This window comes from Homo sapiens, chromosome 11 (assembly GCF_000001405.40).
Source record: "Homo sapiens chromosome 11, GRCh38.p14 Primary Assembly".
In the NCBI taxonomy this organism is placed as follows: domain Eukaryota; kingdom Metazoa; phylum Chordata; class Mammalia; order Primates; family Hominidae; genus Homo; species Homo sapiens.
The window spans coordinates 92,825,261-92,841,377 of NC_000011.10; the positions used below are offsets into that span (position 1 = coordinate 92,825,261).

Genomic DNA, 16,117 nt, shown 5'->3' on the forward strand with positions numbered 1-16,117 from the left:
TTGCTCTCTATGTGCCAGGGTCTGTGCTCAGTATTGGGGTTCAAAGATAATAAGACACAGTTCCTTTACCTAAAAGGTACATTAATCTACTGGGAGAGGGGATATGCATATAACTAATGATAATGCAAAAAATAGAGGCAAAAATAACATTAAGGGAACACAGAGGAGGAAATAACTGAGGAAATTAAGGAAGCTGTTCCAGAGGAGACCCTGCAAAGCATATGTAGGATTTTGACAAGAGAAAGAGGTAAGAGAACATTCGGAGAAGAGGGCAAAGCACAAATGCAGACCAGGGAAGGAGATGTGTGGGGGGCCTTCAGGCAGCACTGGGGTAGACAGTACAGGATGGAAGTGGAGCTGGAAATGACACTGGAAAGGGGGGTTGGGACCAGATTGCAAAGGACTAGAATGCCATTCTCAAAAGTTTTTGCTTCTGTTTGTAGGAAGTTGGAAGTCAGTTACTGTCTGAGAAGCTGGGGCAAGCCTGGATCCAGAATTTTAGAAACTTAACACTGGTTAAGTTTAGAGGACAGGGTATCAACTCTGCTGCAGTTTGCAATTAGGAGTCCCTTAAGGCAGTCTAGGCAAGAGAGAATGAGAGCCTCACCTGGCCACAAGACATTCAAGAGATATCTCAGAGGCAGAATCAAAACAACCCAGCATTCCAATTTATGTGAGAGAGGAAGTTAGAAGGTGACATGCAGAAAAGTAAACCTCTAAACTACTATGTCCAGTTCAAATAATTCTTCACCAAGTTGCTAAGCTTCCAGAGTTAGGGATCATGTCTTTGGGACTCCACTTACTCTCAAGTCAATGCCTAGAGTAGTCAAGCAGACAGGTGGCACTTGGCAAGTCCTTATTAAATGGAAGTGTCATAGCCTGTGTCTCCTGCAAGAAAGACAGAAACCTTCCACTTCTCAAAAGAAACAAAACACTGTCTTTTAAGAATAAGGCCATGGCAAAGGAATGCAGTGACATAGTCAAGAACCCAAGCTTTGTTGATCATTTTTCTTCAAAGGATAATTCTTACAGTTTAAATAAGAGCATGAGTTAATCACCAAGCCTGGGTCATAAAGACTGAAATCTAAACATACTTGTGGTATTTCAAGCACTGATGAATACGTATTAATAAAGCCAGGAGAAAGTGTTGGCTCAAAACCAACTTATTAGATAGCCTGCAGCATGGGATTGAGAAACTAACTGCAACAGGACAAGAAGGAACCTAAACAGGGATTGAAATGTTCTAGATCTTGATGAGGGCAGTGGATCCATGAAGGTAGACATTTGTCAGAATGTATGAGGTAGAGACTTAAAATGTACTAATGTTATGATATGTGATTATGACACCTCAATAAAGTTAATATAAAAATTAGAGATTAGAACCCACATTAAAAGTGTTACTAAAATATGATTGTTGAAATTGCTTCACATTATTTCTTCCCAAGATACTTGCTCCTTTGAAGTTTAAATCCCTTTGTAAAAACCAGTTTACTGCAACTTAGTGCAACCCACATTTTTTGTGTGCCACCTGCAGGCTAGATCCCGTGCAGGCAATGAGAGACATAGGAGTGAATGTCAGAGACAAGACCCTGCAGAGAAGTCAGGGCAGCTGCCAGCACAAGACACCAAACCAGGCAGAACATAGCTCTTTCTGGTTCCTTAAGTTTAGGGATCCTGATCTTAGGAGGAGGAGAGAAAATACTTTTTAAAGACCAGATCAAAAACAGCTCAGTGTATATGCTGTGTTGGTGACTCTTGCCATTTGGTTTCAGTGCTGATTTTAACACCTTTAGCAATCTCAGATTTAAAACTAAGTTATTCTGGCACCTGGTAGGTTAGATCCCCAGGGATGATCCTCTCACTGGGGGTTATTTCTCACTGAAGTGTAAGGACCTGTATAACTGTAAGCTGTATGTGTGAATTCTGAGCATTTAACCGAATGGTATGAATCTGCTGTGTTAACTTTTCCTTCCATCCTGAAGATTCTAATAGCTTGTCATGATCCAGCTGAATGTGGATTTTTCCTTTGTTGATTCTGGCCCACTTAGGCCCAGGTCCAGCAACTTAATGAGCAGTTGCAGGGAGCATCCACTGGAAATAGAAATGAAACCAACTCCCTTTATTTAACTTGGAAAGGAGTCATAGTGCTGGAAAATAATCTTAGACCTCAACTGACCAGGGTTCTGCCACTCTAGAAATGCAGACCCAGGGAAACGAAGTGACTTGCCCAAGGACACTTGTGTAGTTTGGGCAGGCTGTGGCCTAGAGGTAAAGTCCCCTGTCTTCCAGTACTAGACCACATTGCCTTCATTTTAATGCATTTTAAACTGACTTTTATGTACAGTCCCACGTCCAAAAAGTCCAACTTTCCATTTGGCCCATTGAGAGGAACATGGACTCCATTTATAAACCTTCCGAGAGGCAGAATATAGATGTCTTTCACAACCCATTCCTGAATTTCACAGCCTTCCCTACTAGGAATTTGTATGTGCTATTTTCTTTCTCCTATCCCACTCCACAAATTGCCACTACCTATTACTTTCTTTGAGCAAAAGGGATTTTAATCATTCTCCTTTTCCTTGATTTCAATTCTCTGAAGGCCTGTCTGCTCCATTTGCCACAGATAACATGCAGAAACCTCACTTGCAATGAAAGTCACACTTCTCTTGGTAACCTGGCATTTCAGCATTTAAAGAAGCTAAGTATCTCCATCCTCATTAAATTAGGCTCAAATTGGAGAAGAGAATTACATAGTTAAAAACACAGAGGCAAAATGATGGATTAATGTTATACCTTAATGTAACACATCATGACATGCAGTAGGAGCATTAGACCAATTAGCAAGCAAGTCTTCTGCTTGGGTTCATCATTTCTGCTGTGTATGTAGAAAGGGATAGCAATTTGAAGGATGGCATTTATCAAATCCCTTTGGATAAAAAGTGTCCACTTTAGCAACATGACCTGCATTCCTTATAAAGATGGCACCCCATTGCCCAGGAACATGGCAAAGACCCAAATGCTATCCCAAAAATACTATTTCCAAATTGGCGACTATGCTTCTGACTTTATTTCTAAAACTTATTGAAATCCATTGCAATTGTGTCTAAATTGGAGGTTTAATATGCTACAAAAATATATCCTGCTCTTTTCTTGAGAGGTAGCAAATCCTAAGTGATGCCATTTAGCAGGTTTTTTGTCCTGGGTCTCCCCCACCCCTTTCTGGTTATGCTTCCTTATCAGTCTGATTGGTAACAGAAAGAAGAGAGGAACAATATATCTTCCAGTTCCTCCTGGTGTGAATGCCCAAGATATTGTCAGAAGGAAAATGTATGAGGAGGTGGGGGGAGTGTGGGTCAGCAACTTGCAGGGGGAAGGGATGGTTTTCTGCTATGGTAAAGCAGAAAAACCCTGTCATGGAGTTAAAATTAACAGAATCTGCCCGGAGGGGAGCCATGGTCTTTGTGTGGCTGATTAATGTCAGTCCTGTAAACGCAGCACTCCAACAACAGGGCTAGTCAGCTGAGCAGGAAGCTTGGAGAATGCAGAATCTCCTGCCTAGGGGATCAGAGCCCAGATGAGTGCCTCTAAACAGGGCTGAAGAGAAGGCTGCAGGCCTGGAACAGAGGTGATAGAATTAGATTTCAGCTTTGTGTCTCAGTGAAGGAAACACAGGCATCCATTAAAAGCACCTTCCCTTCTGGCCTTGCTGCTGCGGAGAGCGGCAGCGTGCAAATCCAGCCCCTACCTCTCCTCACTCATCTGTTCACAGCACTGTGGCCTTCAGAACAGTGTGTCAGAAATTACCTTCTTCCATAACTGATCTTCAGGCCTGAAAAGGAAAAATTTCCAAGCATAGATCTCCTGAAATCCCTAAGGAGATTGGGCAAAGAGCCTAAGGAAAACAGGACTTTGCATGTTGTTCCTCATGCCTACCTAAAAATGCTGGTTGCACCAGGCAAGTCCTTGGTTAATGCATCAGTGAAATGGATTTTGTAGTTCCCAGCACATGCACTAATGGAAGTCCCTGCATGAATTTCATGCCTGCACTTCTTATTGGCAAGAGCAGCGTACCATATGCTGGAGGTGGAAGTTAATTCTGTAGGGAATGTGTGTGATTTGAAAACCTGTGTGCTGTATTTATGTCAATCGCTGATGTGTTTCCATAAATGCATTTTTGTGACTTGGAGAGGCATCCTGAGACCACTGAATCAGTGAAGGCAGCTTCCGGGGCACACAACCTATTCTGACACCCAGACAGGGCCATTGTTTTCCAGGTGCAAGCTTGATCACCTATGCAACCCGTGTGTGTATTCACCTCAGGAATTCATGTTGAAGAATTTAATCTTGCAGCCACTCCAACAATAGCCAGAAAGCACCCCTAAATGTCTGCTCTGAAGCCTTATTTCAAGGAGACAGCAAGAGAAGAGGAAAGCTTTCTTATTTTTAATCCCAGCATCAATAAAATCACAGGTTGATGTGTATACATCACAGGGCAGTTGTTTTGAAAAAGAAATAAAAGTAAATGATGAAACTTTGGAAAAAATGGACTCTCTGGAATGGAACCAAGAACAGGCTCTCAGTGTTGACCTTTTGGTTAAAGCCACATAATGCAATTTATGTCATCCCTCAAGATATATGATTTTATTGGTTTGCTGGGAACTTGGGCTTAAGGGAAATTGTACATTGGGAAAGTAAAATGTTTAGCTCTTATTATTGCCAAATGAGGTGTTATAATAAGAAAAAAAAAATGTCTAAGCCCTCCCCTCTAAGAGCTTATATTCTATGGTTCCACAATTCTCAAAAGACATTTTCAGATGGTTGTCATAACTAAAGACCTCTGACTAATGACCGTCTTCTTTAAGGGTATTTAGGATCAGAATGGTGCTTTTTCAGCCCACAAAGCTGTTACAATTTACTTCTTATAAATCCTAACAAACAACTAAAGTGAACATGAGGTTTCTAAACTGTTTTGAAGTGCTGAAATCCTCTAATGAAACCAGTTAAATCAATATTCAGAAGTAGAAGTCAATCCAACCGTTATTCAATAATTAATTGGTTGTTAATAGACATTTCCTAGTTTGTATGTTTTAGCTTTAGTACATAGTAACATAAAATGGTATTTTGGTAACTAGGTACATTTCTTGAAATCGTAGAGCAGGAGAGCACCCTTGGACTAGATCCTCTCCCTTCCTTGATGGAGTATTCCAGGCTCACTGACCCTTAGATTTCTTTTTTTCCCTCTATAATCCCTTATGACCTCATTCATTTGCATGGCTTTGCATGACATCTGTACACCAATGACACTCAAATTTATGGCTCCAGCTTGGCCCTCTCCTCTGAACTGCAGCCTCTTCTATCTAACTTCCTGCTTGACATCTGCACTTGAATATCAAATGCACATCTCACACTTAATCTGTCCAGAATAGGGCTTCTGCATTCAAAACCTAGTCTTTCTGCAGCCCTCCCCATCTCAGCTAATGACAACCCCCTCTTTCCAATTGCTCAGGCCAAAACCTAAGGGTCATTCTAGAAGCCTCTGTTTCTCTCACATCCTGTATCCTGCCAGCTCCACAATCAGAAAACACTCTCGCCACCTCCAAGTTCAGAATACATCCAGGAACCCTTCATTTCTCACCACCTGGGTGCTTAGAATAGATGTGGAACCTGACCCCTTCTCACCACTTCCGACACCATCTGCCTTGTTCAGGCCGCCAAGATCACGTGCTTATGTTGCTGTAGGAGGCTGCTGACTGGTCTCCCTCCTTCCTCTCTGGCTGCCCTTCCATCTGTTCAGGAGCAGAAGCCAGAGGGATCCTGTTAAAATCTACATCACATCTCATGACTCCCATCTCACAGCTCACCAGTGGCTTCCCCCTCACCACCACTACAGCCCCACTATAATGTAAAATCTCTTCAAGAAATGTTGGACTTGCCCATTGCTAGACCCTCAAGCCCCTAGAAAGTGCCTGGTAGATTCTAAATACATCTGTGTTGAAGTAATTAATTAATTAATTGGTTTTGGTTGGTTTCTATTTCTCTTTCTGTGCCACATCTTTACCCCTGCATCTATTAGCCTCACAGTTTTTCTTAAAGATTTGTGGGGGGCGAGTTGTATATTAAGAATATCCAACTATTTCTGATATTTGTTGCCAGTATTTTCCCAGTTTCTTTGCCTTTTAATTCCATTGTCTTTTTTTTCCCATAAACTGAAATTTACATTTTTGTAGAGCCACAGCTGTCTGTTTCTGTAATAACTATTTTTCTTGTTGTGGCCCTTCAAAAGTCTGCAAAGCTGTAACATTCTAGTGCAGATCATCTGGCCATGTTCTTGCCCACTCATTTTCCTGTGTCTCTCCCACAGGCATCAATAGGAAGGTCGTGTACTCCCTGGCAGACTCAGCTGGTGGGGTCTTCTCCATTGACAGCTCATCTGGCATCATCATCCTGGAGCAGCCACTGGACCGTGAGCAGCAGTCTTCGTACAACATCAGCGTGCGGGCCACTGACCAGAGTCCTGGACAGTCCCTGTCCTCTCTCACTACTGTCACCATCACCGTTCTGGACATTAATGACAACCCCCCTGTGTTTGAGAGGAGGGACTACCTGGTGACGGTGCCTGAGGACACCTCCCCTGGCACCCAAGTCCTTGCTGTTTTTGCCACCAGCAAAGATATTGGCACAAATGCTGAGATCACTTATCTCATCCGGTCTGGGAACGAACAAGGGAAATTTAAGATCAACCCCAAGACAGGTGGGTAAATAGCACTGTACTTAGAATACAGAGCTTCAGCTTGGCACGGTGGCTCACACCTGTAAACCTAGCACTTTGGGAGGCTGAGGCAAGAAGATCGAGTGAGTCCAGGAGTTCAGGACTAGCCTGGACAACAGAGTGAGACCCTGTCTCTACAAAAATTTAAAAAAATATATTAGCCAAGCATGGTGGTATGCACCTGTGGTCCCTACTGCTTGGGACGTTGAGATGGGAGAATTACTTGAGCCCAGGAGCTAGAGGCTCTAGTGAGCAACATTCCTGCCATTGCACTGCAGCCTGGGCAGCAGGGGAAGACTGTGTCCAAAAAAAATAATAATAGTAAGAATGCAGGACTTCACTATATCCTGCTTCTCCCGAAAACACTCTGCCAGCCCTTCTTGGTGGACTCTTTTTCCTCCTCCTACCTCCTTCACAGAGGAAACAAATCTGTTAGCAGGGCCCACATTCAGACCACAGAGTGCCCTCCAGCTTCTAAAGATGGCTCCTGCTAAATTTTAAGCTCCTTGTTGTGGGCTTACTTAGCAAATATCTGACCCCCAGGTTGGCTCCAGGATTTCTAGGTGGGAGGGCTCAGGGGCAGCAATGTGGTTTCTCAATGGAGAGAGGAAATAGTATTTGTATTCCAAGAACAAGAGTTTGTTTGATTTTCTCTCTTTTCTGTTTGATGTTGTTGGGTTTTTTAAACTTAAGTCATATGTGCACATGTTGGAAAATGTTCATGGGGATGAGCCTCCGTGTGCAACTGTCCACACTTGGACTACCACTCCTTCATCACATGCACAGGCAGACACTGATAAGTGATCTGCATGGTGATATGCAGCCTTCTCAACCCAGCACCCCAAGTAGACTCCATCGGTGAGCTGGAACTGGTGCTCTGTTTGAACCCAGTTCACAATTCATGGTCAGAACACTCATTTCTCACCACATCCTTTTCCAACTCTGGGGAACATGTAGCATCACCTAGGAAATAAAAAGGTGCTTCGAAATAAAGCAACAGAATAAGAGAGAACCCTGGGGCTTTCTCTTCACCAGCGAGTTAATAAGTATTAGACGTGCTTCAGGCAAATAAAGGTCGTAATTCTAGAAAACAAGCTTGGATGTTCTTTGAAGACTAAACATACTCATCCTTGTATTTTCATAGACTGTATGGATTTCTATCCCAAAGCCCTTTGGTGAATATTCTCACTTATTTCCCAATTCCCCTATGAATAGTCAAGGAAGTTCCCATTTTGCAGAGAACAAAGGTGAGTCTCTCACCTTCCAGCCTTTGCACATAGTTCCCTCATCACTCAAGGAGTATGCACCTGTTGAACAAGGTGGCAAAGGAGGTCCATTTTCCTTTGGGTAGTCCAGTAAATATAAACAAGAAATCATTATAATTAGCAATGTTTATTTAACATGGCAAATATACCAGGCTCTTACTAAGTACAAAACAGAATTTCAGAGAAGTTAAATAATTACCGCAGTGTCCACTGTTAATAAGTGGTTTATCCAACATTCGAACTCAGATCTTTCTGACTCTAGAATGCGTATTCTAATATAATATAATATAACACTGCTATACTGTAGGGATACCAAAAATGTAAGAAATACAGTCCTGGCCCGTGGTAAGTATTGGAAGGTGAAAATATTGATGGAGGAATTGCATCACAGTCTCTCCTGGCAGTAACTGTTTATTAAGGTCATTATCTCAAATAAAATGTATGGGGGTTTCCCTCATTTAAATATGTGTTGTCCCTAGCCTGTCTAGTTATGACCATTGTATATAAACACCATGGGGAAATGGCTAAGTACTATTTAAATTTAGCACTAGTTAGCAAGACTGGGATGCAAAATAAGCACTAGGGGTGGTAAGTTCCAGAAAACTTAATTATGGGGAGAAAGAGGCTCTTGTTACAGGTATGATTTCTGTGTTTTGCCTTAGGTAGAAGGAGCCTATTGGCAGTCTTAGCAACTAGAGAAGTTGCCTGTCTGGAAATGTGAATGGTCATGACCTTCTCACCAGTCCTCATGATTGTTTACTAGGTGGGAGGAAAATAAATGCCCTTGAGAAGTGTTCTGCAGGCAATACAATGACTGCAGAATGCAGGATTGGGTTACCTCCCAAGAAAGGGCTAGGATGGGAAGGATATAGCACCAACACCCAGCTAGCTGCTTTCACATGTTCTACTTATTTAAGCAATTCTGTGACATGGACATTATCATCTCTCTTCTGTAGTTGTGGGCACTAAACTCAATATGTGGCTGCTGGGCTGTTTGATTTCCAGGTAGTTCCTTTTCTATTCTGTCACTATACCTTGAGATTTCTGAGATCTTTGCCCTCTTTGTGCCACAATTGTTTTAGATAAGTGCATTTTAACTTGGCAAGGCACCTTTGTGGTTAATTCAATTCAGTGAAGTCTGCAAGTATTTACTTGCTGACAAGAATGAGGTCATACCATCACATCCCCAAATCTCAGCTCATTCTTGGTCTTCCTCTGTCCACCTGAGGAATCAGAAGACACCTATCAGGGATGCTTGTTTCTGTTCCTACTCGTTAGTTGTGTGAGAGTGAAGATGCCAGAGATTTTCAAGCTGCCTGAGAGATGTTCATAAACTGTTACAGAAACATGTAAAGACTTTTCATTTCTTCAGTGTTATGTTTGATGGATAGCTATGCTCTCACTGACAGCATTAATCAGACGTCTGTAATACTTTCAGTAAGGCATTAAATAAACAAATTCCTGAATGTTTAAATTCTTGGCTGGAGAGGATGTTAGAAATATTACCATGATTATAGAATTGCTGACCAGTGTTTTTTCCTAATGAAATATAAAGCTCCCCATTTTTCTTCAAAGGGGGTATTTCTGTCTCTGAAGTCCTGGACTATGAATTATGCAAAAGGTTTTACCTGGTAGTGGAAGCCAAAGATGGGGGCACCCCAGCTCTCAGCGCTGTGGCCACTGTCAACATCAACCTCACAGATGTTAATGACAACCCTCCCAAGTTCAGCCAAGACGTCTACAGTGCGGTTATCAGTGAAGACGCCTTGGTGGGAGACTCTGTCATTTTGGTAGGTACCTGGGGTTGGGGATGGTTCTAGATGTTTGGGACTAGTCATCCACAATAAAGTGAAGAAGAAAGCAAAGTCCGTCTTGGGTTTTCTTCACACTTCCCCCTTTCAGTGTCCATTTGTCCCCAAGAATAGGAGCCATCTTTCTATGGCTCCTTCTGTAATTTGTATATTAGGAAGAGTCTGATAGATTAATTTATATCAAGGTGTTAGTGATTGATAATCACTTATTTCCCAGGAGCATATCTTTTTTGAGAAAATAAAACAGACCATGGGATGAATTTTTAATGATGGCCCCCTATGTAGATGTGAACTTATATGACAGGTTATTAGGTGGCTAGGAGGAATATATTCTTTTTTTCTTTTTTTTGAGATCTGTTGCACAGCATGATGAATATAGTTAATAGTGGTATATTGTACATTTCAAAACGGCTAAGAGTAAGTTTCAAATGTTCTTACCACAAAAAATGCTAGGTTTTTGAGATGGTTCATGTGTTAATTAGCTTGATTTAATTATTCCACATTGTATTCATAAATCATAACATCACTTTGTACCCCATAAATATATGCAACTATGATTTGTCAATTTACAATTTAAAATTATTAGATTGCTGAGGATCAAATAAAATCCCTGTCCCCCTTTCCCCCTACACACACAGACACACAGAGTTGGGCAGCTACAATTTGGAGCAAACCTAAGATTGACTAGCCACTCTTAAAGGAGACTTTTCCAGGGGGAACTCTGTCTAACAGTAAGAACAAGCCATGTATCCTGAGAACACAGATTCTGTTAGACCGCAAATTACATTTTGGAACAAAGAGTCCCCTCCTCACCATCCTTCCCCATCCCTTGGCTGGCAGGTCCCTTCCATCCAAGTCATCTCATTGCAGGATGAGGGTGGAGCCGCTCTCTGCTGGAGGACAGTACATTTCTTATACATCAGAAGTGCACCCCTCAGGCCCACTCTGCTTCCTGGAAAGTACATGACTGTTTCCATACATATAAATTTCAACATCATCAACCTGGAGCAATAGACAGAGGGGCGGTATATTTGCTGTGTGGGAAGGGGAACTTTCTTGGCTTCCTTAACATGGAAATGCATAGGCCTAGAGAATCCCTCACTCAATGGCAGAGACCATTACTTGCAGGATTGGGAAGAAATCAAAGCGTTCCTGTCCATTAGCTTTGGGCTCTAACCATACTGTCTCAAACCCTGAGGAAAATCAGGCCTAACAGGCATCAGGCTGTGGGCAGGTAAAAAATTAACATAAAAATAAAATGGCAGCTGCGGGCCTGGTGCCACCCTCCTTCAGCTGATTAATCATCTCTTCTGCTGGGGGCGTGGTCACTAACATTAGAGAGCAGAGCTCCCGAGAAAACTGTCACAGCTGCACCCATTTAAACAGACCTGGGACCCTAAGAATCAACCTTTGCTGCCTTATGTCATGTCTTTTCTTTGTTTTGCTTGTTTTCCATGAAGCTAATAGCAGAAGATGTAGACAGCCAGCCCAACGGACAGATTCATTTTTCCATTGTGAATGGAGATCGGGACAATGAATTTACTGTAGATCCTGTCTTGGGACTTGTGAAAGTTAAGAAGAAATTGGACCGGGAACGGGTAAGCTAGTTTAGGACAGTTTCCTTCCCATCCACATCCACCACTTTCCTAGAATCAGGGGCACAAGCTCCACGGGTGTAAATAGGAAAGTTCTCCATTCTAAGTAATGAGAGTAAATAAGGATGGGCTAAAATGCAGCATGAAATATTAGGGTTAGACCTTTGATAGAATTTTCTACCTATAATAGATGCTGGTTATGGAGGTTTTAAAGAAAAGATAAATATGTATCTTTCTAGGTGGTTTGAATTTTAGCCCTTCCTAGAGCAAAGGGACAGAAAAATACTTTCAGGGTGTTGGGACCCTGTGATCCTGACTTTATGAGCAACTTTAGCCCTCGGTGAGCAGGTACAAAAAGATCACCTGAAGGCATCTAGGTCAGAAAAAATAGTCCAAAAAATTTCTCTGTCCAAGGTTAAGTGAAGTTTCTAAACATTGTCTTTCTTGACCAAAAAATATTCATCTTCGAAGGGAAATTAAATATGGAAAAGGATGACATGGCAATGATGCTAAAAAGCAGATAGACTCTACTGGGTGATACATGCTCATAACCCCAGAAATATTAACATTGATAAATAAGACAGATCAGCAGTGACAACTATTGCACTGAGCAAAGGCCCAGAGCCTGGGTACTAACCAGGGTGGTTTTGTCCCCCAGGGACGTTTGGCAACGTTTGGAGACATTTTTGGCTGTCATAACTGGGCAGGGGGTGATACTGCCTCCCACTTGACAGAAGTCAGGGTTGCTGTTAAACATCCTAAAATGCACAGGTCAGCCCCCAACAACAAAGAATTATCCAGACCCAAATGTCAGTGGTGCCAAGAATCACCCGGTCTGGAAAATCAAACTAAAGATGGTTGCTCTTTAACAAAGCACAGCCTGTAGCTCCAGTTCCTCTGTGTGTGCACAGAAGGAAGGAAGCGCTACACCTCTTTACTGTCACCTCTTTGTACCTTGGCAGGTGTCTGGATACTCTCTGCTTGTCCAGGCCGTAGACAGTGGCATTCCTGCAATGTCATCAACTGCAACTGTCAACATTGATATTTCTGATGTGAATGACAACAGCCCGGTGTTTACACCTGCCAACTATACTGCTGTGATTCAGGTGAGAAAATCTTGCCTGCCAAGCACTTGTCCCTTTGCATTCAGCTTTCTTCCTCTGCTGTGGTTTACTCATTGTGGTTTATTGCTACTATTACTTAATGTCATCTCATCCCTTCATAGGGCAGGTATGAAAAAGAACCTAGTTCTTCTACCACAGATGATTAATAAATGTGAGTAAGAGCTATTGAGGGGTGGATTTTTTTCAACTGTCAGGTGCTTTATGCACTCTGTCTCTCCCCACAACAACACTGTGAAGAGGGATGGTGGATTGGTCCCCACTTTATAATGGAAAGAGCTAAGGATCTGTGAGGTTAAGTAATTCACCAAAGATCATGCAGCTGGTAAGTGGCAGAGTCAGGATTTGAACTTGGGGCTGTCTTCTGCAAAAGAATTCTCTTTCCCCAGTGGCAGGCTACCTTTAAGCAACTTTATGCTATTCTGGCAGATGACAGAGATTGATACGCATTGTCTCATCAGTCAAAGACAGATTGGGCATCAGGATAGAGCTGGTACTCATTAAAATTAATCTTCCATAAGCAATTTGTTTAACACTTTAAATCCACCTGCTCTTTAAAATCAGACTGCAGGATAGAGTAACTTACTGCTGGTATTCTGCTATAAGAGAGAGTGACTCTTCTTCCCATCTATTTTTTATTCCACGGGCACAGTGCTAGGTACTGAGCGTCCTCTACTTCTCAGTATTTCTAGGAGCTGAAAGCCCAACTTTAGGAGGATCAGGAAATCTAGCCCAGGAAAACTGTCAGTGTAGAGGACTTAGAGAAGACAGAGTGATATGCATGACTTGGAGGGCCACAGGTATTCTAGAGAATTAGTTCTTGCATGATCCAGTTTGGCCTCAGAATCACCCCAAAGGAGTCCCAGGGCTTTGTGGGTGGAAGGTGAAATGTGAGTGGGCCAGCTCTTGAGGGTCCCCTTTGGAATAACATTCAAGAATTTGAGCCTGACCATCCATAGCTGGCCTCCTCAGACCCCAGGGCCACTGAGCTGTCCAGCAATCAGACTGGGAGGCAGCCTTGAAGGAAGCAGCTGTCTGCTGGTTCCCACCCCTTTGTCAGCGAAATCTGATTCCTTCCCTGGTGGTGTTTTGGTTTTCTCCTCCTCTCTGATGCTTTTTCCAGCAGCTCTGCATTCTCACCACACTCCTGCTTCCCCAGAGCTTCGCCCAGAGTCCACACCTTCCTCCATTTCTCTTTCTCTCAGCTCACTCTTCTCCATGACTGTTGCTCACAAGGGTGCTCTCTGCCCTCATGGCCTCTGTTTGCTAACCCCAAAACAAAGTGGGTTTCTCCTACTCAACATTCAGTTTTATGACACACATCAATCAGCTTGACAGACTGTTTTCAAATGCGCAACAGGAGGTCAACAGTGAAAGCACGGAGAGGCTCAGCCCATGAGTGATGGTGGGGCCCCTATCCGCAGGGCAGGCATGTCTATGTTACCTTATACCCTTCTTCTCAGATGCTGACCCTGAGGGCCACATTGTCTCTCTCCCTCTCTTCTATGCAGGAAGCGGCCTTTAGAGAGTAAGCAAACAAATCAGTCAGTGTGAAATAGTAAATATATGTGGGGCTATGGTGGTCCCACGACTGATTCCAGAGGGAGACACTGTCTAGTTTTTGATGACCAAAAGGACACTTGTGAAAAGGAGCAAAATAAGAGGTCTATGCAGTCCTTTTCTCTTTCTTCTTCAAAAAATATGCCTCCTTTTTCCCAACCCTGAATGACGTTCTTATTTCCACACATGGTTTTCATAAGACTAATTCAACACATAAAACTTGACTGGGCCTGCCCTCCAAACTGTAGTGTATCATCGTCTCCATCTCTGCAACCCAAACTGGTTTAATCCTTAGGTCGATGGCATCAGGAGGCCTGAGCTGATACAACTGATTTCAGGCCCAAGCTGTGGTATTGCTGAAGTCTAAACAGAGTAGGGGAAAGGACAGCAATACCTGAGCTACAGAGGATTTAATTTGCCGTTTTCAACGTGAGGATGACCTTTGACCCAAGAAGGAGCTTTGCATTCCCATTTGGGGAAAAAAGCAGAGAAGTTCTGCAAAATAATGCTTATGTAATAGAATCAGGACTTCCAAGAATTCTGACAAAATTAAGGATTCCTGTTCTGTTCATTGTCAAATGGAGGAATGTTTTACCCCGATTCGCTTCCCTAAAGGAACATGGCAAAACCGTGTTCTAGAGAATTAGGTAAGGTATAAAGCCCCATTTTCCACCAGGAATATGCCTTTGTATATTGACTAGGAAGTTGCCAGGATGTCCCCCCAAAAAATCTAATGCTGTGACATTGTATCTAGTGTTGGGCCTCAGCATAATTGTGTTGTGACATGTGTGTGTGAGGAAGTGCCTCCCCATCCCAGTGGAGCTCTTCAGGTCAGCTCGGGCATTGCCAGCTAACCCAGGACAAGGTGCACCCAGCACCATGCTCGGAACCTGTAAACCCAGGCAGCTCCAAGTCCTTGTGTTCACACCAGTAGAGGATTGTCCCATAGGTGGTTGTGGGAAGCAGCCAAAGATAAGGAACATGACACTTACAGACACCAACATGTTTTCAGAAGACAAGGTAATGTCACAGGGAATCCCTTCTGCTGAAAGCCCTGTTTTCTAGCTCAGCACTCTCAGCCTGAAATGATGGTATTTTTGATTTGTTTTGTTTTGTTTTAATGAATGTGAAGAGAAGTGTAATTTTTATCTTCATTTTTACTATATACTCTTTTATGCAGGAAAATAAGCCAGTGGGCACCAGCATCTTGCAGCTGGTGGTGACAGACAGAGACTCCTTTCACAATGGGCCTCCCTTTTCATTCTCTATTTTGTCGGGAAATGAAGAGGAGGAGTTTGTGTTGGACCCTCATGGGATCTTGCGGTCGGCTGTGGTCTTCCAGCACACAGAGTCTCTGGAATACGTGTTGTGTGTCCAGGTATGGCATCGCACTCTGTCTCCGTCGTGCTGTCTTTCTTTCTCATGCTTGTTTCTGTCCCCTTTGGTGGATTTTTTTCTTTGCTGAGTAAGTCAACATAATTCATTACCATGCGGGAATGTTCCCCCTTTTAATCTCAAATTCAATTTCACACCAGTAAAAGCTGCCTCTGTGTGTGAAACTGAACAGGAAGGAAGGGAAGCATCATTGTTCAGGAAGGACATTCCTGTAGAGTATGCCCAACAGATGGTCACTGGGCTTAAATCTGCATTCTAAAAACTCCTGCTGCTTTATGCTATTGCCCATCACATTACCCCACTTGGGACAGCTACCAATCCCTGTCATAAGGGGACTTAGCCATTTCATGCCTCTGCTTGATAGGCCTTCCCCAGTGAGGCAGGAGGGGACCAAGGACTCAGCTGGCAGTGGCCCCCAGCATGTCAGTTCCTCATGTTCATTGGCCTGTGTGACGTAAAATGGGCCAAAGAGGCAAACGTGGCAGGTATGCAGAGTATAGAAGGAGCAGGAAATGAGAGGGCCTCCGAAAGTTCCCATGTATGATTTCTGCAAATACCAAGATTTGGATCCCATCAGGGAAACTGAGTGACTTTTTCTATC

At 43.0% G+C, this 16,117-nt stretch overlaps 1 protein-coding gene across 11 annotated transcripts in view, besides 1 other annotated feature; it reads left to right on the forward strand.

Moving 5' to 3' along the window:
* FAT3 (FAT atypical cadherin 3) overlaps positions 1–16,117 on the forward strand; it is a 671,656-nt gene that overhangs the window by 600,443 nt on the left and 55,096 nt on the right. For all 11 annotated transcript variants that reach the window (XM_017017179.3, XM_017017178.3, XM_017017180.2 and 8 more), the window contains 5 exons: positions 6,362–6,751; positions 9,610–9,824; positions 11,306–11,443; positions 12,403–12,546; positions 15,302–15,499. In XM_017017179.3, the coding sequence (XP_016872668.1) occupies positions 6,362–6,751; positions 9,610–9,824; positions 11,306–11,443; positions 12,403–12,546; positions 15,302–15,499 (1,085 nt within the window). The remainder of the gene's footprint in view (positions 1–6,361; positions 6,752–9,609; positions 9,825–11,305; positions 11,444–12,402; positions 12,547–15,301; positions 15,500–16,117) is intronic.
* Positions 13,524–14,024: an enhancer, noted in NCBI's record as "H3K27ac-H3K4me1 hESC enhancer chr11:92571950-92572450 (GRCh37/hg19 assembly coordinates)". NCBI's record gives its function as "activates a minimal SCP1, AML or CMV promoter by ChIP-STARR-seq in naive and primed H9 embryonic stem cells {active_cell/tissue: H9 hESC(naive and primed)}" and the evidence as "EXISTENCE:reporter gene assay evidence [ECO:0000049][PMID:30033119]".